The sequence below is a fragment of the Homo sapiens genome, chromosome 16, assembly GCF_000001405.40.
Source record: "Homo sapiens chromosome 16, GRCh38.p14 Primary Assembly".
Classification (NCBI taxonomy): Eukaryota; Metazoa; Chordata; class Mammalia; order Primates; family Hominidae; genus Homo; species Homo sapiens.
The window spans coordinates 50,559,776-50,582,564 of NC_000016.10; the positions used below are offsets into that span (position 1 = coordinate 50,559,776).

The following is a 22,789-nucleotide window of genomic DNA, read 5'->3' on the forward strand; positions in this document are numbered from 1 at the left end:
CCTGCTGGGCTGCCCAAGCCTTCTGGCCTTGAGCATAGAGCTGGGGTCCTGAGGAGGGGAGAGGCAGAGCATAAAAGGACCCTGTTAGCAGGATGGGGCTGTCTTCCCTCAGGCCACAGCCTCCCTAATGGGCTCAGGCCGGAGGATGTTTTTCTAACTTCAGAAGGCTGCGTGGGCTGGTGGGCCCCTCACTCAGAGGCCTCGGCTTGCGGTGGCTCCAGTGAGTGGGTTTGGGGGTGCTGGTGTGTGGTGCCATGCCCATTCCATGCCTGGTTTCCAGAGGGAGCCTTGTTCCAGGACAGTTTTTGACCCTGACTTTGTTGTTTTACCCTTCTTTCCCCCTTCAAAGGCAAAAAGATGATTGAAGAGAACTACTATAATCCAGGAACAAAGTTGCCTTTTCAGCGGGCACTGGGGACTTTCTCTGCTTCCTCCCTGCCCTGGAAAGTCCAAAGGCACCCACTGCCTCAGCTGGTCCTGGGCACGTGCCTGCTTTCTCAGTGGCTGCAGGCTCAGTGTGCCCGCGAGCTGCCCACTGTGTGCATAGCCCCGTGCTGAGTCTGGGAGCTGCAGCCCGAGGAGGAGGTGGTAACAGCGTAGCTGCTGCTTGCTGCGTGTCTGCTGTGTGCCAGGCTCTGGGCCAAGCACTGTTCATAGTGCTGGATTCTCAGAGCACTGTTATGAGGCCGCTGTTATTATTATGCCCATCTTACCCATAGGGAAACTGAGGCTTTAAAGAAGTCAACCATATTGCCCAAGGTCACTTAACTTGGAAGTGGAATCTTGCTTCAGCAAGATTCAAATTCAGATCACTCAGTGTGATTTTAGAGCCATCTTAAATCAGTTTAGGCGAGTTTTTTTTTTTTTTTCAACTGTATGTCTCAGCCCCATTCATGGTTCATGACATCAATTTAGTGACCAAAATGAAATAGAGTAAAAATATGAGAAAACATTATATATAGTAAGAGTAAATATTGTTTTGTGTAATTTTTTGTTCTAGTTAAAAAAAATGTATACACACACTTTACACACACCTATACCCAAACCCATCTATCTATCTATCTATCTATCTATCTATCTATCTATCTACAGCAGAGGCATATTGTAAAATATAATTCTTACTATAGGTCATAATCAGAGTATTAGAAAAACGCTGGTGTGGGTCACTGGTGCAGGCCCTGAGCCTGAATGCCTGGTTTTGAGCCCTGGCTCTACTTCTCACTAGCAGTGTGACCTAGGGCAACTTTCCTGACCTCTCTGTGCTTTCTGAGCTGTTTGGTTTGTTGACTTTTGGGCCTGGGTCAGTGCTCCCAGGGATGCTGTGGGTGCTTGCTGCTGGCTCACTCCCTTTGCTTAGGGAATGAAGAGGATGAGCAGTCCCATGGAGGGGGGGCCCATGGCTTCTCCCCTGAGAAGCCAACAGCAGCAGCTTCATCCCAGGAGAAACACAGACATGGCTCAGTCATCAGGGGTTGGACACAATGCTGCGCTGGGAACCCTGAGCCTGGGGGTGCCTCCAGCTTAGCTATGAGGTATCTATTATGACCTCTCCTGCCTTCTGCTTCCTCCTCTCAAAAATGCATTAAAGGAAAGGAGAAGGCTTTGTTTCTACTGCTGTAAAAAAAAAAAAAAAGTCCAAAGATTAGTGACTTGATCACTTTGTGACTTGCTTAAGAGTATGCACTTTGGACCAAGCCTGGGAGGGTCAACTTGTCTGTGGCTCCATGTAGCACAGTTAGGGTGGCTCTAACAGCAAGGGTCTGACTGCAGCAGCTCCAAATAAGTGACATGTCTGGGGCTTCAGTTCTCTTCTAGTTGGCCTCACCTCATGAGTAGCTTGGGCTTCCTCACAGTATGGCAGTCTCAGGGTAATCAGATTTACATGGTGGCTGTCTTTCCCAAGAGTATAGAAGCAAAAACGGCCAGGACTCTTTAAGGTTTAGGCCTGGAATTAGCAACAACACATTCTCTTCATTAAAGCAAGTCACAGGTCCAGCCTAGATTTAGGGGAAGGAACTACACAGGGGCATAAATACTGGGAAGTGGGATTCACTGGGGGCCATCCACACAGTCTACCGGAGAGTAGGTGGTCTCTTGCAGAGAGAGTGGAGTTATAGAAAAGGACTGAGACGTGTCCCTTGGGTTTAGGATCCTGGCGGTCACAGTTGGGTCTGGCAGGAACTGTCTTGGTGAAGTGACAGCAGAGGTGAGACTTGGGTGGCTCACGAAGGGACTAAGAAATATGTGCAGGGGAGCAGAAGCACATACTTACAAGAACATTCATGGCTGCATTTGGAAGAATGAAAAGTTTTTGACAACTCAAACATCCATCACTAGGGTACAAGGTAACAGTGGTGTGGACTTCTCATTGAGCTCTCTGCAACTGGTCAAAGCCCAGCGAGTAAGGGCCTCTCTTGCTGACAGGAAAGAGACCCTGAGACGCTGCTGAATGAGCAAAGCAACTGCAAAACATTCATAGGCCATGGTCCTGTTTCTTACAGTGTGAAAAAGTCTATTCAGGCCTGTGTCACTGTGTATCTGCAGGTGCATAGAGAAAGATCTGGAAGGGTACACTGTCAAGGACTATTTCCCTGAGGAATGGAGAATTTTGCTTTTCATTTTGTACATTTTTAGGTTGTTTGATTTTACAAAAAATGAGCATGTGCTACTTTTTGTATTTTTCAAAAAGGTGATGTATTTTAAAAGTGAATGACAGATGAGGAAACAGCATGTGTAGGCAACTGTATGGAGAAGCTTTATCAGAAGGAGTGGAGAGAGAAGACAGCAGCCAGAGGGTGTGGAGTTGGGGAGACTCGATGCGGCCGAGGACCACCTACATCTGAATCTCTTGGGTGCTATTCAAAATGTAGACTCCTTGGGGTTTCCTGAGCCTGAGTCAGAACCTTTCTGTACTAGGCAACAGCTGGGCCGACTGGACCCTGAAGGAAAGGAGAGAGGAGGGTGCAGGAGTTGGAGAGGGATGAGGGGGGAGGAGGGCACTCCCCATTTGTAGTGTAGCGGGACCTAATGAGCGACCCTACAGAGAAGCCAGTGCAGGCCCTCACTCATGACAAGCTCTCGCTCCATGGTTCTCTCTCCTCTTCCCACATCCCCATAACTGTGGCTGCTTAAACTTGCAAGCGGATTTAGAGCTACCCTGGCAGTCACTGACACCTGCCTCTCTTGAAAGGGCTGCTAGGTCCCACCACCACCCCCCCCCCCCGCCGTAGAATGGGTAGAAGAAGGGGCTGTAGAAGTGACCTCTAGACTGTGCTGACCAGTAGAACTTTCTGATGATGGAAATGTTCTGTGTCTGCATTGTCCCCTCTGGGAACCTGTGGCTTAGAATGTGACCACTGGGACTCAGAGACTGCCTAAATTTTAAGATATATTTTATTTGAATGAATTTAAATGTGAACTTAAATAGCCCCATGAGGCTAGTGGCTACCTCATTGGACAGCACAGCCCTGGACGCATGGAGAAGATCCTGTGTGTCAGGCTAAACTCCATCCTCAGTGGGCACAGTCCTGGACCCATGGAGAAGACCCTGTGTGTCAGGCTAAACTCCATCCTCAATGGGCACAGCCCTAGATGCATGGAGAAGACCCTGTGTGTCAGGCTAAACTCCATCCTCAGTGGGCACAGCCCTGGACCCATGGAGAAGACCCTGTGTGTCAGGCTAAACTCCATCCTCAGTGGGCGCAGCCCTGGACCCATGGAGAAGACCTTGTGTGTCAGGCTAAACTCCATCCTCAATGGGCACAGCCCTGGACCCATGGAGAAGACCCTGTGTGTCAGGCTAAACTCCATCCTCAGTGGGCACAGCCCTGGATGCATGGAGAAGACCCTGTGTGTCAGGCTAAACTCCATCCTCAGTGGGCAAGCCCTGGATGCATGGAGAAGACCCTGTGTGTCAGGCTAAACTCCATCCTCAGTGGGCACAGCCCTGGATGCATGGAGAAGACCCTGTGTGTCAGGCTAAGCTCCATCCTCAGTGGGCACAGCCCTGGATGCATGGAGAAGACCCTGTGTGTCAGGCTAAACTCCATCCTCAGTGGGCACAGCCCTGGATTCATGGAGAAGACCCTGTGTGTCAGGCTAAACTCCATCCTCAGTGGGCACAGCCCTGGATGCATGGAGAAGACCCTGTGTGTCAGGCTAAACTCCATCCTCAGTGGGCACAGCCCTGGATGCATGGAGAAGACCCTGTGTGTCAGGCTAAACTCCATCCTCAGTGGGCAGGGAGGCGTCAAAGGAGTGCAAAGGAGTGATTCACAGCAGGTGGTCATGGAAAGAAAGCTCTCCCCCACAGGAAGTACTGGTTAACCGTCTTTGGGGCCTGTCCAGAGCCCCCTTCCTTGTAACATAGCTGTGTTCAGGCTTGGTTAGCCCTGGCTGGCCGCAGCCATGGCCATGGTGGGGAATGATCATGGTCTTCCTTCTAGATGGTTGGATCAGAGCACCTTCTTGTGATGTCACAAATCGGGGCCTTTCTAGCCTTCTTAACCTTGGAGGTTCTGCTCAGCAGCTGCTACTGGCGTCTCGTCCTCTTGGCTCTGGGTCTGGGGCACTGGAAGGTAAACTCCCTGCTGAGTTGGAGGCAGCAGCATTGAGTGGGTGGCTGTTTTCCAGCCAGGATTTACCCAGGGCTTTATGGCTTGCAAAGCCTTCCTCACAGGGCTTTGTCAGGCATTTAATATTCACAAAAATGTGGCCAGGATCAAAATTATTATTATGGGGAAACTGAGGCCAGACTGTAAAGTCCACAGGTCAGGTTCTTTGTGGCTCACTCTTGTATCCCTGGGCCTTTTGCACTGATTGGCACATGGCAGATCCTCAAGAACATTTTCCAGGTGGATGAGGTTCAGAGGGGCCATGCAGCTTGGCCAGAGGGCACACAGCCAGAGAGGCAGGGATTCTGTTCTGTTCTGTCCAAGTCCCCACCTCTTTTATGGAGCCAGGCTGTTCTGTGTCTTTGAAGAGAGCCTCTGCCCTTCAGAAAGGGTCCTCACCTTTTTCCTTTCTGTAAATTAAGTCGTACGCATGGTTAAAAAAAAAAGAAAAGAAAATCCAAAATAGTACTGAAGGTATGCAGTACACAGGAAGCCTCCGCCCACCTCCACCTCCCAGCTTCCCCCTTTGGAGGTATCTGCTGTAGTGGGCTCCTCAAGATACTTCTAGCCATGCTCTGTTTGTGCATGCTTATCCCTGCACAGACAGCAGAAGCTGTCTTGGCCAACAAGACCAGGAAGCATTGGTATTTGCAGGTTAATTGAAAAATTCATTTAAGGTGGAGAACCATAAAAAAGTGATATAGAGGCTGGGTGTGGTGGCTCATGCCTGTAATCCCAGCACTTTGGGAGGCCAAGGTGGGCGGATCACAAGGTCAGGAGATCGAGACTATCCTGGCTAACATGGTGAAACCCCGTGTTTCCTTCACTAAAAATACAAAAAATTACCCAGGTGTGGGCCTGTAGTCCCAGCTACTCAGGAGGCCGAGGCAGGAGAATGGTGTGAACACGGGAGGCAGAGCTTGCAGTGAGCTGAGATTGCACCACTGCACTCCAGTCTGGGCAACAGAGTGAGACTCCGTCTCAAAAAAAAAAAAAAGGTGATATAGAAGCCAGGTGCAGTGGCTCATGCTTGTAATCACAGCACTTTGGGAGGCCAGAGTGGGAGGATTGCTTGAGCCCAGGAGTTTGAGACCAGCCTGGGCAATGTAGCAGGACCCCATCTCTTAAAATAACAACAGTAACAACAAAAAACTAGCCAGGTTTGTGATGTGTGCCTGTAGTCCCAGCTACTTAGGAGGCTGAGGCGGGAGGATGGTTTGGGGCCAGGAGTTCGAGGCTGCAGTGAGCCATGTTTGCACCACTGCACTTCAGCCTGAGCGACAGAGCGAGACCATGTCTCTCAGCAACTACAATGAAAAGTGATACAGACCTTAACTTAAGATTTTCTTTTAACTTAAGATTCATGTATACATCTGTCTCCGCACCTTGCTTTCTTAATACATAACTTTTTAAACTTATCTTGGAAATCATTTCATATCAGAATGTATAATCTTATTGTTCTTCATGGCTATCAAGCCTTCTGTTATAAGGATAGACCATCATTGCATTGATTCCTTACTACTGGGCATTTAGATCATTTGTGGGCTTCTGCCTGTGGTCGACTTTAGAGCAACAGTGTGCATTTCTGCTTCCACCCCTTGCCCTGTGCCCCCGACACACACTGCACATCCTGATATGATCACCAGGTGTGGCTCTGCTATTTTTCTGGCAAAGCTGGAGTTTTTCCTTCTGGCTGGTGTCTACAAAATCGAGGAGGAAAGCAGCTTCAGGGGGAGCTTGTGGTTAAGTAGGTGTGAACTTTCTCTGTGGATCCGTTGGGACCTTTTGGATTTCAAGCCCTTGTCAACTGTTTCATACAGTCAAGTTCTTGGCTTGTGTAACCAGGGAGTGGACTTCAGTTACAGCTGGATCCACCAGCCCAAACTATGTCCCAGGACAGCAATCTGTGTCTTCATCTCTGCTTTCTTTTAGATTGGCTTCATCCTTAGGCACACCCTTCCCAGGTAATGGCAACTTGGCTCCCAGCAGTCCAGACTCCCAGCTTCAGTTGTTAGAGAAGAAAGTTCCAGCAAAAACCCAGGCGGAGCTCCCATTGTTTTGACTTGGGTCACATCCCGGAACCCATCCCTGTGCCTCTGACAGTCCTGGGTCACATGCCTGTCCTGGAGTGGAGGCTGGGATCACCCCCGTCCCCGCATCCCTTGAACCTCCCTAATGAGAAACTGACTTGAGAGGAGAAGGCTGTAGAAAGCACACTGTATGGGTGGAGCCAACAGCTGTGGATGGCCTGGTCCCTGGAATCAGAATCACTGAACAAGGCTCTGGTCAGCAGCTGGCAAGGCTGGGTAAGGACAGGGCAGCTAGGTAGCTGACCATTGACCCACCCATTGCCATTGGATCTTGGAAGAACCTAGGTGGTTTGCCACCTCCTCCATGCAGCCCACCTGGGTTACAGCCTTCCTTTCAAGCTTCTGACCTCTCTATGATGATCATAGGTTGATGATTTTTAACCCTCAAGGAGTGAGTAACAAGACACTTTTGGGAATCCACCAAATCTCTTGTGTCTCTCTCCTTAGATAAATGCTCTTACATCCGTCATTCCAATTTCAGGGCACCTATGGCCCCAGGTTAGGAACTCCTGTTTTAGTTTTTATGGCCCCCCCCCTTTTTTTTTAAGACTTAATTGCATTACTTCACTCCTTTTTCCCTATGTGATCTCCCAATTTGAGGGGTGCATAGAGCTTAGGACCAGGCTTCAGACTTGGGTTTATACTGAACCGTGTTGACGCTGGGCCTTAGTTTTCTTACCTATAAAAAGAGGAACAGAATGCCCACCGTTTGGAGTTGTTTCAAAGATTAAATGATGAAGTAATGCATATGGCCACTGAAGTGTTAGCATGCAGTGAGCACCCAGCAGATGTACTCAGTAGCCCTTTAAGGCCTCTGGATCTGCTGCTGTGTTCTGAAAGATTCCCAGTAAACCGGTCTCCATTTCTTTGGGGCCGAAAATAGCACCTGGAAGGGGCGTGATTGCCGTTTGTCAGAAGAAGATGTTGAGAGGGGACATCACATTTGATTGCTCAGGAGTTCCCCTGAGATGATTGCTCCCCATTTATAGATGGGAAAACCCAGCCCTAGGGAGGTTTCAGGGGCTTCTCTAGGTGTCTTGGAGTTAGTTTGGTTTAGCTGTGAGTGCCTTTTACACTCTGATCTCGGGACACCCCTCACTTATTTTATAAGCTGTACCTCCTCCTTGGCCAAGGACAGGCCACAGGTGACAGCTCCCTTGTGTGTTATGGCCCTTTGGCAGAGTCCCCGATCTCAACTGAGTCCTTTCTGGCCCCAGATCCCAGCCATGGCTCCGCTACCTGCCTGGCTGGACACCAGGTCTGGGGTGGTGGGTATTGTTCTGGTAGAAATGTGAACTGGTGCTTTGCTTTGAGTATATTAAGACACAAAGTCCCTGTGGTTAACAGCAAATTAATCACAGTGTTAAGGAGGGCCTGTCTCGGGTAGACATGACTTCATGAGCTTGTCATAAAACTGGCCTCTGCCATATTTCACTCCCCAAGATTTTTGACTTTCAGAAAAGGAACCGCAGATAGAGTTACCAAGTTTTACAGAAATATTTTTACTGGGCAGAAGATTGCTTTATGGCGAGAGCCAGTTATTTCAGGAGACAAGCAAAGAGCCCTTTATTCTCACGTTCTGTGGGAGGAAAATATGATGCCAGAAAGCCCGCTTCTTGGATGGGCCCTTTGAGGGGGTGGGCTGCATTTTTTTGGAGTTGGGAGTGGGTGACATGAATTGGCTTGCGAAGGCCTGGGGGGCCCCTGAGCACCCGCCTACCTTTTCTTAACCATCTCTGGGGATTTGGGGCTTATTTTGCAAGCACACGGAAGCCTAAGGGTGTTGAACAGGGAAGAGACGTGGTTAGCACTGGGCTTGAAACCAGGACCGCATATCAGAGAGGGGAAGAAACTGAGAGTGGTAGGCCAGCCTATGGGGGGCCCCAGCTGGAGACACAGGAAGTCCAGGTTAGAGCTGGTGCTGCCATTTCCCAGCCATGTGATTCTGTCATTTCTTGTTGTAAACTGGGGATAACAGCAGGACCTGCCTCATGGGCTTTCAGGAGAATTAAGTGAGAGCATCTGTGTCAAGCGCTTCCTCATTTATTCAGTCCATAATGTCTATGGTGATCGTTGGCAGCGAGAGAGGGGGGTCTTCCTTCATCCACATTCCTGAATCTACTCATCCCACAGCTTCCTTTGCTTGTGCCTTTGAGTGCAGTGGGCCGGCGCACTGGGAGGTTTGAAATCTGGGCCTCCTTAGCAGGTTGGAGATTTATGGGCCTCATTCTTTGAGCTCCAGTCAGCACCTCTGTACATGGAAGGGACTGTTCTTTCTTGGAAATTAGGGGGAAACAGATTGGCTTGAAATTCTGCCCCCCCAGAGGATGGGACTGACCTTTGTGTGTTAGGACTGGGTGCTTCTCTCCCCCAATGTGGAAGAAGGATGCATGCTAGAAGTTTTGTCTGTGTCTGGAGCAGCCGTGTGCCTGATAAGGAGATGGCTCCCTTGCTCCCGTCTTGCTTCTGACCATAATCCCTTTAAGTTGGGCAGTTGGAGAAGGTTGATTTGTCTCCTTCTCTTCCCCACCTTCCCTTCATTATTTAGAATGTGAGGGAGAGTTTATCTGGTTCTCTGGGAGATCTATCATCTCAGCTTTGGAACAGCATCCAGGTTTACAGAATGGAATCTGGTGCCCAGCGCCTTCTGATAAATATTTTGGGAAGTCAGATTCCGCTGACATTATAGTCTATGGGTTGGGCAGTGGATGCTTTCCCATGTCTGGGTGATTGAACTTGGACTATCCTCATACCATGCGCTGTGCACCAGCTTCATGCTACAGCGTTTTAGCGCCCAGAATTCTGGCCCCTTTTCCTGCTTCCAAGGTTCTGCTTGTGCAGTTTCGCCCATGAGAAATGCACTTATTGCTTCTGTGTTCCCTGCAAATACATACACCCCTGCTTTATCCTTGGCTCTCTGCTTCCTTCTTCCCTTTCATGCTGCCTCCAAGTTCACTCACGCCCTCCCTGAAGCCCTCTCTGAAGCTGCCCTCCTTGTTCTTAAAAGCTTCCACATGGCTTTGCTAACATCTTTGTTCTGCCCTGGGTTGGCCAAGTCAAATAAGTAGACCCTGGGCAAAATCCATGGTCTGTCAAGCCTCAATTTCCTTACCAATAAAATGGGATGGTAATAATAGAACCCATATCCCAGGATGAGTATGAAGATTAAGAGAATGGGTGAGAAGCCCCAGAGCCTGGTGTGCAGTAGGGTTGGTAATTATTTCACTCCTCTCCTCCCACTTAGATTGTAGGCTGCTTGAGGGTAGAGGCCAGTTCTTACTCCTTGTTGTATCTTGTGAGCTTTTTAGCATGGTGTCTTGTCTGTAGGAGGTCCAAGAACTTATTAAGTGGAACCCTCTGGTTAGGAGTGATGGGGTTCCTTGGATGGAGGAAGTCCCGCATAGGTGGATTTTCAGGAGTTTTGGGGAAGATGCAGAACATTGCTTTAGCAGAGTGGTTGGAGCCGGGCGGGCACTGCCTACCATGGCAGCCTCTGTCGTGATGCAGCCACTGAACGTTTGAAATAGGGCGGGTCTGGATTGGGAGTGCTCAGGGGATTTCAAAATCTTAACGTAGAAAAGGAAAAGTATGTCAACTTTTTTTTATTAATAATTTAAAAAAATCACATGTAACGATAGTATTTTGAAATGTCGGTATTTTGGATATATTGGCTTAAATAACATTGTTAAAATTAATGTCACCTGTTTCTTTGTTTTTTAATGTGGCTACTAGAACATTTAAAATTACATGTGTGGCTTGTATTCTGTTCCTGTCACACAGCACTGGCCTTGACTCCATGGGGATGATGTTGACCCCAAGGAGGCAGAAATTGGTTCTTGGGGGGCAAAGGAGTCTTAGTCTTTTTAAGTATAAAACACAGATATACATCCAGTATATAAACAGATCCACAGAATACCTGTGATATTAAAATGTTATGGTCTACACAGGCTCTGTATGAAGAGGGAAGATAATGGGAACTGAGATACACTGTACTGGCCCCAGAGATAGCCAGGACCGATTCAGATGCTGGCCCTGCCACTTACTAGCTGTGTGACCTTTGGGCGAGTGCCTTAACCTCTCTGTGTCTCTGTTTCTTCATCTGTAAAATGGCAGTGAAAATGGTGCTTAGCTCGTGAAGCTGTCATGTAGATCAGATGAGAATGCCTGTGAAACACTTAGCTCCGTAGCTAGCCACAGAAAGCAGGTGATACGTAGGACAGTTATTATTCACGTGCTATGTGACAAGCTTGGCCAGCCTTTGGAGGCAGAACGGGGTAGGACTTCCACTCCCAGGATCTATGGAGTGACCATGTCTATTAGCCTTGGTTTTTCCATCTGGGAAATGTGTTGCCAGGAGTGCGGTAACATCTGTACAGCACCTTGTGCTGAGGGTGGAATGTGGCTGGCAGGTATTGGAGTGATGTAGCCCCCACCCCAGCCATAGCAGCCCTGTGCCAGGCACAGGGAGGCTTCTGCACTGAGGGCTGGCTGGTGGTATCCTTCACTGGGCTCATGGCGGACCCTCCTGGGTGTGCACCTGTCCCGCTGTCAGGGCCAGGCTGTGCTGGACATCTCCTCCCTGGGGCTGCCTTTGAAGGGAGAGCTGAGAGGAAAGTGGAGGGGAAGGAGGGGCTGCCCATGGCCTGCTCAACACAGACAGTTGGATTAAAGGTCCCTTTCAAGGCCTTGGAAATTGTCAGTGACATGGGCTCTGGCCTAGGGGGCTGCAGGTGGCAGCCCTCCTATAACAAACCCAAATTCTGTCTTTGGAGATCACTGTTTGAGAGACACAGAGGCCAGGGCTCTGCCTCCTGTGGGGAGATGTGATCCGGAGAGGGGAAGGTCAGCAATGCAGCCAGGATGAGGACGAGCAGCTGGCCGCACAGCCTGGTGGAACCAGGGTTTGTGCACATGGAGGCTTTGGGGGTTGGTAGGGACCTTGGGAGTTTCAAGTGCTCCGAAGACCTGGGTGCCCTCCACTCACTGCCGCTCACACACCCAAACAGCCTGTCGGAAGCAGCCTTCCCCACCAACTCTTGAGACCCATCTGCGCTCCCAGCCTCCCAGTCCCAGTGACGGGCTCTCCATTCATCTGTTGCTCAGAGAGGCATCCTGGGGGGTCATTCCTAACTCCTCCCCTTCCTTCCCTGCAGAGCTGCCAGATGGACACCTTTCGTCAATCTATGACTCTGTGAATCTCAGATTTGCCCACTGCTCACCATGGTCCCCATCCTCTTCTAAGCCATCATCCTGTTGCTCCTGGAGGACTCCAACAGCCTCTGAATTTCTTCTCCCTGCCTCAGCCAGGCTGACTTTGCAGAACCCAATGAGATCCACTCCCTCTCCTACTTGAATCTCTACTGCGGCTTCCCACAGTCCTTAGAGGAACATCTAAATTCCTTCCCATGGTCCATAAGGCTGAGCACAACCTGCCCCTTTCCTGCTTCTCATCCCCGGCCGCCCTTCACCTCACTCCGTCCCAGCCGCCCTGCTCCCTTCTGGAACACACCCATCACATGCCCAACTCGGGGCCTTTGCACGCTCTATTCCTGCAGCTGGAGATGCTTCCCAGTACTCTCCCTTGTTCTCCCCAGCTCACCCTCCAGGATGGAGCTCTCACATGTGCCTTGGAGCAGCTTTCACTGTGGTTCCTTCTCCTAACATCCTGTTCCTTCTGCCTCCTTGGAATGCTCACCACCATTGGTCATTTGTGACTTATTCATGTGGCAGTTGAGTTACTGCTCACCTCCCACAGGAACAGCAAGGAGTTGTGGATATTGTTATTCACCTGTGGTGGCAGGGGGCAGGGTATTGTCACCCCTCTGGTGGCAGGGGGCAGGATATTGTCATTAACTCCTGGGGCTCCACAGCCTTGCACAGGGCCTGACACATATAGGCATCTGTTAATCCTTGGAGAATGAAAGTGCTTTGCTGTGTGCTTTGGACAAGTTCTTTCAATCTCTGAGCTTCAGCTATCCTGTCTGTAAACTAGAGGGTGGGGGTAGTTGCTTCCATCTTGGATTTTTTTGGGGAATGAACCCCGTGTGTTACGTGGGCCTGGCTCGATGGCTGGGGGTAGTGGAGTTGTCTGCTCCGCCCTGTCTTTTGTGCTCTAACTCAGGGGAGGCGGCAGATTGGTGAGAAGGGGTTCAGGGGATCTGCTGTGGGACTCTGGGAATCAGAGAAATCCTCTCTGCACCAGTTTGCCCATCTCTAAAAATGAGTGCTGACCACCCCTATGGTTCGTCTTCTTACCCAGCTTGGGTGCAGCACGGTGTCCGGGCTTGAGCTTGTCCCTGAGTCCGACAGAGACAGATCCAAAGCCAGTTTCTTTCAAGCCCAGGAGATGTGGAGGTTAGAAAGAGTGCTGACCAAAGTCAGTCTCTGGAGCCAACAGGATCATGAGGTCGGAAGGGGTGCTGACCTGCCCCGTGCAGAAGAGGGTGGGAGAGTGGGCTCTGGAATCAGATGAGTTTGAGTTCTGGGCCTGCTGCCTAGCAGTTGTGCAAATGTAGGCAACTTTCCTAATGTTTCTGAGGCCTCAGTCTCCCCATCTGTAAAGCGAAACTAGTAGTTGAATCTTCCTCCTGGAGTTGGTGTGTGAATCAGTAAAACTGTGTGGCCTGGAGGTGCTCAGTAAGGCTGCTCTTATGACTAATTATCATTCCCTCCAAGAAGAAAGTCCTTTCTGGAAGTCTTTTCCCCGCCATGGGAAGGTCTTTGTTATTTCTTTCTTTGCTGGAACCCGTACCTCTACCTTCAGCACCACACAATCTCAATCCCTGTGGTGCCCCCCTGCACCCTGTCTGGTCTCCAGGTGGCTGAATGACTCCAGCTGGAGGGTTGCTATGGAGACCTCCTGATGCTGAAGTTGCCCTGTGGGCAGGTGGACATTCCCTGTTCCTTCTCCCCCCATCAGGTTAAAGCGAGGCCCTTTGGAGCTTCTGGGCTCTTCTTCATCCCCTTGACCTGCCCTGCAGTGTGAAGCCGGGTGCTGCGGGGAAAGAGCCAGCAAGTGCTTTCTGGGGTCAGATCAGAGTTCTGCTGGTCTCTGCCCCTCAGGACCTCCCCTTCTGGGTTCTGCATCTTGGCTCAGAGCTGGGAGAGGGTCCCACCCTGACAGCCCTTTAGAATCTGAGACCCTTTGCAGATGTACCGCTTCCTGAGGGCTAGGAGGAGGGTCGCACCCTCTCTGAGCTTAGCCACTTGGATCTTCTGAATTTATCTGGCAGCTGCTCCTAAAAGTGTCTCTGTGTATTAGAATAGCTTGGGGAAAATTGAATAACCTGGGTTCAGCTCCTGGTGATTCTGATTCAGTTAGGTGTCTGAGAACTCTCACGGAAACGGGTTGGGCTGGCCTCAGCCACAGGGGCTGAGAGGGGAGCAGGGGCGGGGGTGAGGGTGCTGAGCTGGCACAAACAACAGCTGTTGACTATATATGTCTGGGGTGCAGCCCAGCAGTCTCTTTTTAACACACATGTATATGACATATATGTATGTATATATAATGCATGTGTGTCTATATATACATAGAAATTTTAAAATTTTATGTCTTTTCAGTACTTTTTGAAATAGTCTCACTCCCGTTTTACAGATGGTAAAACTGAGGCTCCAAGTGGCAGAATGTCTTCTTCCTAGTCACATGGGTATTGGGTGATAGAACTTGATGCTGGATCCAAATGCAGGACTGCCTATGTTCATTCTACCTCACCACTACCTCTTCTGGGACTCAATTTTCTCTCCTGTCAAATGGGTATACCTCCCTTGTCTTGCCCAACCTCCTAGGTACACAGGCCTTGGACAGTGGGGGCTAGGGATTGGAAATGTGGGTGTGAGTCAGAACTGGGGGCTGAGGTGTCCTGGGAGGGCCTGTTTAGTTTGGTTGACATTTCAAAGGATGCTGGGCCTCACTGGTGTCCTGGCTGAGTCGACATAGCCGTCTTCCCCCAGGGACTAAATTTAGGATTCCTTGGGACTTGGCTGGGCCTCATCTTGTTTTTGGAAACTCTCCATTTTGCTCCTCCTGCTGCTGGTGGCCGAGGCCCAGGCACGGCCGAATGGCAGTGCAGCGTGGTCTCGCCTTGGATTGATCTTGTTGGAGTTCATTAGCAGCTGGCCTCGCAGGCCTGGCCTCCAGCGGGCAGGAGGAGCTGTGCCTGGGGCGTGCCAGGAGCCAGGGGGTCCCCTCCCCACCTCCTTGCCTCGTTGTCGTCCCAGGCAGAGGCCCTCTGAGGGAGGCGCTTGGGTTTTCTTTGGCACTTGGTGAGCAAATGGCTCCCTCTCCCTTTTCTTCTGAGCCCTGTAAAAATAAAAAGTTAAAAGACCCTAAAGTTTGAACAGTAAAACCAAATACATGAAACCAAGCTGTTTCTATGTGGGGGCCATGGTCTGTGAACACCCAAGTTTGAAACTTCCTCTCCTTGGAATTTATGGAAGCCTTGGAAACTTTTTCCTTTTCCCTTTAAACATCAGAATTGGCTTAGGGCATTCTTTAAAAGCATAACCCTGGTGCTTCTCACAGCTTGATTTAATACAGCTTGAATACAATAGTAACTTCTGAACCCAGCTGTCTTCTGAGAGAGCTGGAAAGTTGTTTCATGACACCAGTAAGTAGGTGTTTTTTTTTTTTTTCCTTTAGCCAAGAAGTATATTCTAAGATTTATTAGATTCTCTACTGCCCTCCCCCTAGTAACCCAGATTTTCGCTGGAAGGAAAGGAAACTTGCTCAGATCAAGTTCTTTAACTAGGGGCTGAGAGATAGGGAGGCCAGTCTTCTGGGGTAACGTTGGCACTAAAAGATTCACCAGTGCCCAGAGGCTGGCTGGTTTTATAGGCGGGTGGTTCACAAGTGTTTGCTTCATAGGCCAGAGCCGGCTTAGGGCCTGGTTTTCAGAACATCAGCGCGAGGGTAATTGTATTTTCGGGGAGAAAGAACAAATGGGGTTGTCTGTGTTCCTGGGAGAAGGGATTTGAAGAGCCCCTTTGACAGGTGATCTTGTGGCAATATTCCCCCCAGAAATAACGTGGGCCTCCCTTTCCAGGGCTCCTTCCCCGGGCTGTGGGGACGGACTTGCTCTTGAACTCAGGAGCTCGAACACTGAGAAGTAGGTTATGTGCTTTTTCATTTTCCATCTGGACTTAGCAGAGGGCTTGGTGGAGGCTCTGGCCAGTGACCTTTACACATGCTTTTTGGCTTTAGCAGCATAAAAATATTTAATTAATTGCCAAACTTTAAAAATGGAGACATATCACATAAAAATCCAGATAGAAGAAAATGGAAAATGGGAAAACACCAGGCCTAAATTCTGGTGTGGCCACCATTTGTTGCATCCTTTGGAGCAGGGGTTCTCCATGGTAGCACAGGACATTTGGCGATATCTGGGTACATCCCTCATTGTCATGGCTGGGTTGGGGGTGCTGCTGGCCTCTAGCAGGTGGAGGTCAGGGATACTGCCAACCATCCTGCAGTGCACAGGATGTGCCCCTGCAACAAAGAGTGACCTTGGCCCCAAATGTAAACAGTGCCAAGGTGGAGAAACCCTGCCGTAGGGGAGCATCTGGGCTGCAGAGCCCACCAAGCCTCCTACCTGGGCTCAAGAATATTCTAGAAGATTCTGAGTTCCCAGAATTGATTGCTAGCTTCTTGGCTTATTCCTGCCTTTTGTTGGGACTATATGCTAGTTTGCCCTTACTCTCCTGAGGGTCCCACCCAGGCCCTGAACAGGCCCTGGTCAGATGGAGGCTTGATGGTGGGCAGATGTGGGTATTGCCTTCGCAAGCCTCAGAGCAGAGCTGGGAGGAGCAGCTATACTCACCCCCATGTCCAATTACATGAAGACATTCAGTCACTCCCTCTCCTCTCCTCCTCCAGATAGCAAAGAAGATGTAACCCCTAGTGATGGTAATTCCTGGTTTAAATATTGATAATGAATGACTCATAAGATTATCCATCCATAGCCAGATTGCTATGATCAAATGGTGATTGTTCAGAAGTGGAAGCAGTGCCTTTTGTTATGTTTCTGATTATCCTTGGTGGAGAGAGCTGGGTTAGAGGACAGGATTTGGGGTGGAAGCCTCCTGAGTATCCTGAAAATGCACCAGAATTTGGCCTGAGAGCTGCTGCAGGAAACTTGGGGAGATTGTGGGTATGCCTGTGGCTTTTACGGTGGTGATGATTTCATGGGTGTACCCTTATCCCCAAATTCATTGAGTTGTATGTATTAAATAAGTATAGCTTTTTACAAGTCAATCATATCTCAATAAAGTGCTTTTTTTTTTTTTTTAAAGAATGACTTATAAAAACTCATTTTGGGAAAAGAAGAAAGTTATTTACCAAGTATACTCTGTCCACCCACCCAGTGACCCACTGGGAAGGTATTCCTACCATCCCCGTCAACAGGTGAGGGCATGAAGTCAAGCAGCATGTGACTCCCTGCAGTCAGTGATGAGAGGCCCCTGCTGGGCCCTGTGAGACTGCACTGATGGATGGCCTGAGTCCCTGCCTTCAGGAGGTGCCCATTGTGTTGCGGAGGCCACCATACCTGGCTGGCCCTATACAAGGCAGAAAGTGATTTGTGGGAAATGATACAAATATTTTACACCATTCAGAGCAGGTTGGGTTGGTGGAAGGAATAGGGTCTTAAGTTAAAACCAAGCTCTGCCTCTACCAGTTTCATGACCTTGGCCAAGTCACTACACCTCCTGACCTTGTGGCCCTCACTTGTTGATGGAGATAGTAGGAATACCTTCCCAGCGGAGGGTTGTTGGGTGGGTGGGTAGAGTATATTTGGTAAATAACCTTCTTTTTTCCCTAAATGAGTTTTCATAAGTCATTCTTTATTTTAAAAAATCACTTTATTGAGATATGATTGACTTGTACAAAGCTATGCTTAATTAATATATACAACTTGATGGGTTTGGGAATAAGCATACACTTATGAAACCATCACTACCATCAAGGCCATAGACATGTCTATAATCTGCCCAAGTTTCCTCCTGCCCTCTTTATTATTATTATTTGTGTGAAAGAGATAGAGAAAGAATACTTAAGATCTGCCCTCTTAGAAAATTTTAAATATATAATGGAGTACTGTTAGCTATAGGCACGATGCTGTGCAGTAGATCTCCAGAACCTATTTATCTTGCATAACTGAAACTTTGTACCCCTTGGCCATCACCCCTTTCCATTTCCTCCTTTCCCTAGCCTCTGGCAACCACCGTTCCACTCTGCTTCTTTGAGTTTGCCCATTTTAGATTCCACATATAAATGAGATCACGCAGTATTTGTCTTTGTAAGCCATTCTTAATCAAGGTAGGCATAGCTAAGCACCCAGGGGTCTTAAAGTTGACCTTTATGTAGAGGCATTCAGGTGGGAGGCATTGTATGTAGGAGGTGGTGACTGATCTGATTTAGCAGATAGATTTTTTCCTGTATTGCTTTTGCCTTGAGCTTCTTACCCCAGTGAGGACTTATTTTCTTGACCCATGTATTCTTCTTTCTTTCCACTTGTGTTTTAGCTGGGGCAACTCTGGTTGTTGTAGTAAAGACACCTTGACATTGAAGTTTAGAATTTTATTTATCACTCATGGACCAGTCCAATACAGGTACCTTGGTTGGAAAATGAGTGACTTAGTGGTCCAGGCTCCTTCCATGTTGTGGCTTGTTCATCTGTGAGAGCCTCTGAGTTCTCTGCTTCTACTTGGTGAAAGGGGAATAAGAGAGTAGAAAAACTCTTCCCACTGCTTAAGATCCCTGACTGTGAATCATTCTGTACCACTTCTGCTCATGTTCGATTAGTGAGAACTAATCACATGGCCCCACCCTGATGAAAGAGGTGCTGGGAAATGTAGTCCCATCTGGGCAGCTACCTTCTGCTGACAACTCTACACTGTGGAAGAGGAAGTAGGAATATTTGGGGGCAGGTAGCCATCTCTGCCATAGTACCAGCTTGAGTCGTTGTTCCCTTTGCAGGTGCCCTTGGTACCTGAGCCTCCTTTTCTGCTGGCTTCTGCTTCTTCAGCTGGCCATGTCCAGCTCCATGTTCCAGAAGATTCTGCCTCTTTTACTGTGCGGAGTGATGTTCCCCTGGGGATCTACTAGTGCTCTGCTGAGAGACTCACACCCAGGTTCTGATCAGATACCCACACTGTGTACATTTCTCATATTGCAGTGTCTGTCAGTCAGCTTCTGAGAAATCTGTGAGAGCAGCATTCCATCTCCTATGATTCTGCAGGTGATCAGGAGGCCTTCTGCAGCCTGTAGTTCTCCTGGGCAGCTTAGTAGCTGGCTGGCCTGGATGCAAGACCACTGGCTATGTCTCGGTCACTGCCTTATCTCATCAGGGGCTGCTTTTGTCTCTGGGAATGCAAATGTCACTATGATCACCTGGAGAAGTCACTTGACATCCATGAGCCTCATCTTTAAAAACAAAGAAAGAAATATTTAAATAAAGCCTCAGCCACATATCACATGGGCTGTTATGAGGGTCTAATAAGGCTGTCATTGTGCATGTGTTCCTGCTACACATGCACTCTCTCAGTCCCACAGGCTGCCCACTATACACGCACTCTAACCTGCTACACATGCATTCTCTCAGTCCCACGGGCTACCCGCTACCACTCTAACCCGCCACACATGCACTGTCTTACTCCTGCGGGCTACCCGCAACACACGCACTCTAACCAGCCACACATGCACTGTCTTACTCCTGCAGGCTACCCGCTACACACGCACTCTAACCCGCCACGCATGCACTGTCTTACTCCTGCGGGCTACCCGCTACACACGCACTCTAACCCGCCACGCATGCCCTGTCTTACTCCTGCGGGCTACCCGCTACACACGCACTCTAACCCACCACGCATGCACTGTCTTACTCCTGCGGGCTACCCGCTACACACGCACTCTAACCAGCCACACATGCACTGTCTTAGTCCTGCGGGCTACCCGCTACACACGCACTCTAACCCGCCACGCATGCACTGTCTTAGTCCTGCGGGCTACCCGCTACACACGCACTCTAACCCGCCACGCATGCACTGTCTTACTCCTGCGGGGTACCCACTACACACGCACTCTAACCCGCCACGCATGCACTGTCTTAGTCCTGCGGGCTACCCGCTACACACGCACTCTAACCCGCCACGCATGCACTGTCTTACTCCTGCGGGGTACCCGCTACACACGCACTCTAACCCGCCACGCATGCACTGTCTTACTCCTGCGGGCTACCCGCTACACACGCACTCTAACCCGCCACGCATGCACTGTCTTACTCCTGCGGGCTACCCGCTACACACGCACTCTAACCCGCCACACATGCACTGTCTTACTCCTGTGGGCTGCCTGCTACACATGCACTCTAACCTGCCATGCATGCACTCTCTTAGTCTCCTGGGCTACCTGCTACACACGCACTCTAACTCGCCACACATGCACTGTTTTGGTCCCACGGACTACCTGCTACACATGCACTCTCTTGGTCCCATGGGTACCTGCTGCACACGCACCCTAACCTGCTACACACATGCACTCTCTCAGTCCCACAGGCTACCAGCTACACACGCACTGTCTTGGTCCCACCGGCTAGTCGCTACACATGCACTCTAACCCACTAAGCATGCACCCCAACCCGCTACACATGCACTCTCTCAGTCCCGTGGACTATGTCTTCCTTTGCTGGCCTCTCCAGGTGGGCTTTCTGTTTTTAGTTTTGATTTGAGAATGAATTCTATTTCTGAAAAGGACCTTAGGGAGTGTTGTCATGACACCATGATGGATCCCCTTGATGGACTGGCCATTCTGGCCTCACACTGTGTGCTCACCCCTTCCCACACATGCCAGGGCCTGCCCAAGGAGAGGCGAGGGCCCAGTGCTTAGAGCGGTGCCTTAGCAAAGGCAAAGTCTGCGTCTTTGGGAGGCCCTCAATGCAACTGGCATAATAGCAGGTACACGCAGGGAATGCAGTACACACGCTCAGTGAATGCAAGAGAAAGCACTCAAGAGAATAAGGGTACTCAAACCCTTGTCAAAGGGTTCCCTGGCCAGAGAAGCTTGGGAAACGGGTGGCAGCACCAGTCGAATGAGCGTTACTCTGTCATTTTTGGCAGAAATTGCAACCTGGTGAGCTGACTCTAGCTCCCAGGAATGTTTTGTTTGACCCTTTCAATTTTTTAAACAATTTGAGCCAACATTTAAAAATGAGGAATTTCACTCAGAACTCCAGATTTCTGACTTCTTTTTAAAAATTGGAAAAGCTAATATCATTGGCATCAACCTCTTAGCCTGGCAATATTCAAGTGGAGCTGAATGTGGCTGTGCTCTTGGACAGGGCCTGTGTCCCCCAGAGCCCCTGCAGTGCCCACCAACCCTGTTTCTCATTTTTCTCTCTGTTTTTTTCATCATTGCCTTTGCACATTGGTTTTCTATAGAACTATATTGCTTTTAAATAAATGTTTCTATTTCTCTCATAGGAAACAATTGCTATCAAAGATGGAAGAGAAAAGATGAACCAAAATGGTTGTTTTCTGAAAAATTAGAGCATATTTCTTCATGGAGATGAAGAGTGTTTCCATATGCCTTTTATGCAAATATTAAACCTGCCCCCATTTAACTTATTTAAATAACTTAGCTCCTTAGCTCCTATGGGATTGGGGCTTGCGGTATCTGCCCTGTACTGATGTATTGCTTACCAGGGACAATATTTCCTAAATATATTATCCCACTGGAGATTCTGGGGAAAAAAAGATTCTTTGCAAAATTAGTGTTGTGAAACAATTGCTGCAACTACCCATTAAATAAGTTCCTTAACTGCAGGAATTCTCAGAGCCTTCACTGTCTTAATGTGCATTGTGAATCTGGAATATGGAGTTTTCGTATTACTCAGGATTCCTTCAGTTTAGGGACCAGTTTCCCAAGCTTCTCTGGCCAGGGAGTCCTTTGGCAAACAGTGCTGCAGGGTTTTGAGTGCTCTCATTCTCTCGGGTGCTTTCTCTTGCATTCACTCAGCATGTCTATTGCATTCCTGCCTGTACCTGCTATTATGTCAGAGGCATCGAGGGCTTCCCAAAGATGCAGACTTTCCCTTTGCTAAGGCTTTGCCTTCTGCCAGCTCCTATTGCTTTGTGGGACCCCTGCCACTTACTCAGAGGCACCTCGGATGGAGAGAACTGGCTAAACAGCAAGTGTCTGCTATCTGTGGTGGATTTGAGGCCCTGAGTACTTTTGGGGCTTCCACAGAGCTGGTGATTTATTTTTCTGATCCAGGATGATGAGGTGCTGTCTTGTAGCAGCTCTCAGTGGCTGTTAGCTTACAGAGGAGTGGGACCTGGGGAGGGCAGAATTGTGTGTGTAGGCATGCGTGCCCTTTATTGCTGTTAGCCTTGATTTGGAAAGGGCAGGGTGGTTCAGGAGGCAGAGAGCATGTTGCTGATTGCTCAGAGCAAAGGATTTTGTGTCCAGGATCTGAGTGTTGCAAGGATTGGTTGTTTGGGGCTGCTGGGGTGGAAGGGATTGCCTTGTTGATCTCTGGAAGCTGTGTGTAGTTCTTGCCCAGTAATGCGTTTGTCTCTTTGCCCAGCCATCGTAAGGCAGCTCATGGACCAGATGCCAGCCTTGATCTGCTGAGCTCTCTGGGATGTTTCTGAGAAGGCCAGAGTGCATTGCCCGCCCAAGGATGTCTCACCTAATTAGTCCATTAGAGTCAGTGGGCCTCAGATCATGAATCTGGAGCTGTTTGCTAATTATGCCTTGAACGTGGTTTTAGTTAGATGATTAAGGACTCTCGCAGGGCTGTCCTCCCTACAGCAGTCCCTCAGGTCTGTGCCTAGAGCCCCAGCCAAAATGAGATTCAAAATGCCCTGAGAGAGAGCTGCCCCCTCCCACATATCCTAAAGTGGACCCTCCCAGGGGAGTCTGGATCTTGCAGGTGCCCATTTTTAGACTGAGGTATTTGCAAAGAATGTGGTTGCCTCATACCTTCCAGACATCCCTGTGTATGTGCAGGGAGAGGAACATTGCCATTCAGTGGTCATCCCACACATTCATTCATTCTGGAATGGCACCTTGGGGCACTCTCGTGACACAGC

At 49.3% G+C, this 22,789-nt stretch overlaps 1 protein-coding gene across 1 annotated transcript in view, besides 2 other annotated features; it reads left to right on the forward strand.

The window, feature by feature from the left end:
• NKD1 (NKD inhibitor of Wnt signaling pathway 1) overlaps positions 1-22,789 on the forward strand; it is a 100,854-nt gene that overhangs the window by 11,380 nt on the left and 66,685 nt on the right. The window lies entirely within an intron of this gene.
• Positions 10,965-11,466: an enhancer, noted in NCBI's record as "H3K4me1 hESC enhancer chr16:50604651-50605152 (GRCh37/hg19 assembly coordinates)". NCBI's record gives its function as "activates a minimal SCP1, AML or CMV promoter by ChIP-STARR-seq in naive H9 embryonic stem cells {active_cell/tissue: H9 hESC(naive)}" and the evidence as "EXISTENCE:reporter gene assay evidence [ECO:0000049][PMID:30033119]".
• Positions 11,467-11,966: an enhancer, noted in NCBI's record as "H3K4me1 hESC enhancer chr16:50605153-50605652 (GRCh37/hg19 assembly coordinates)". NCBI's record gives its function as "activates a minimal SCP1, AML or CMV promoter by ChIP-STARR-seq in naive H9 embryonic stem cells {active_cell/tissue: H9 hESC(naive)}" and the evidence as "EXISTENCE:reporter gene assay evidence [ECO:0000049][PMID:30033119]".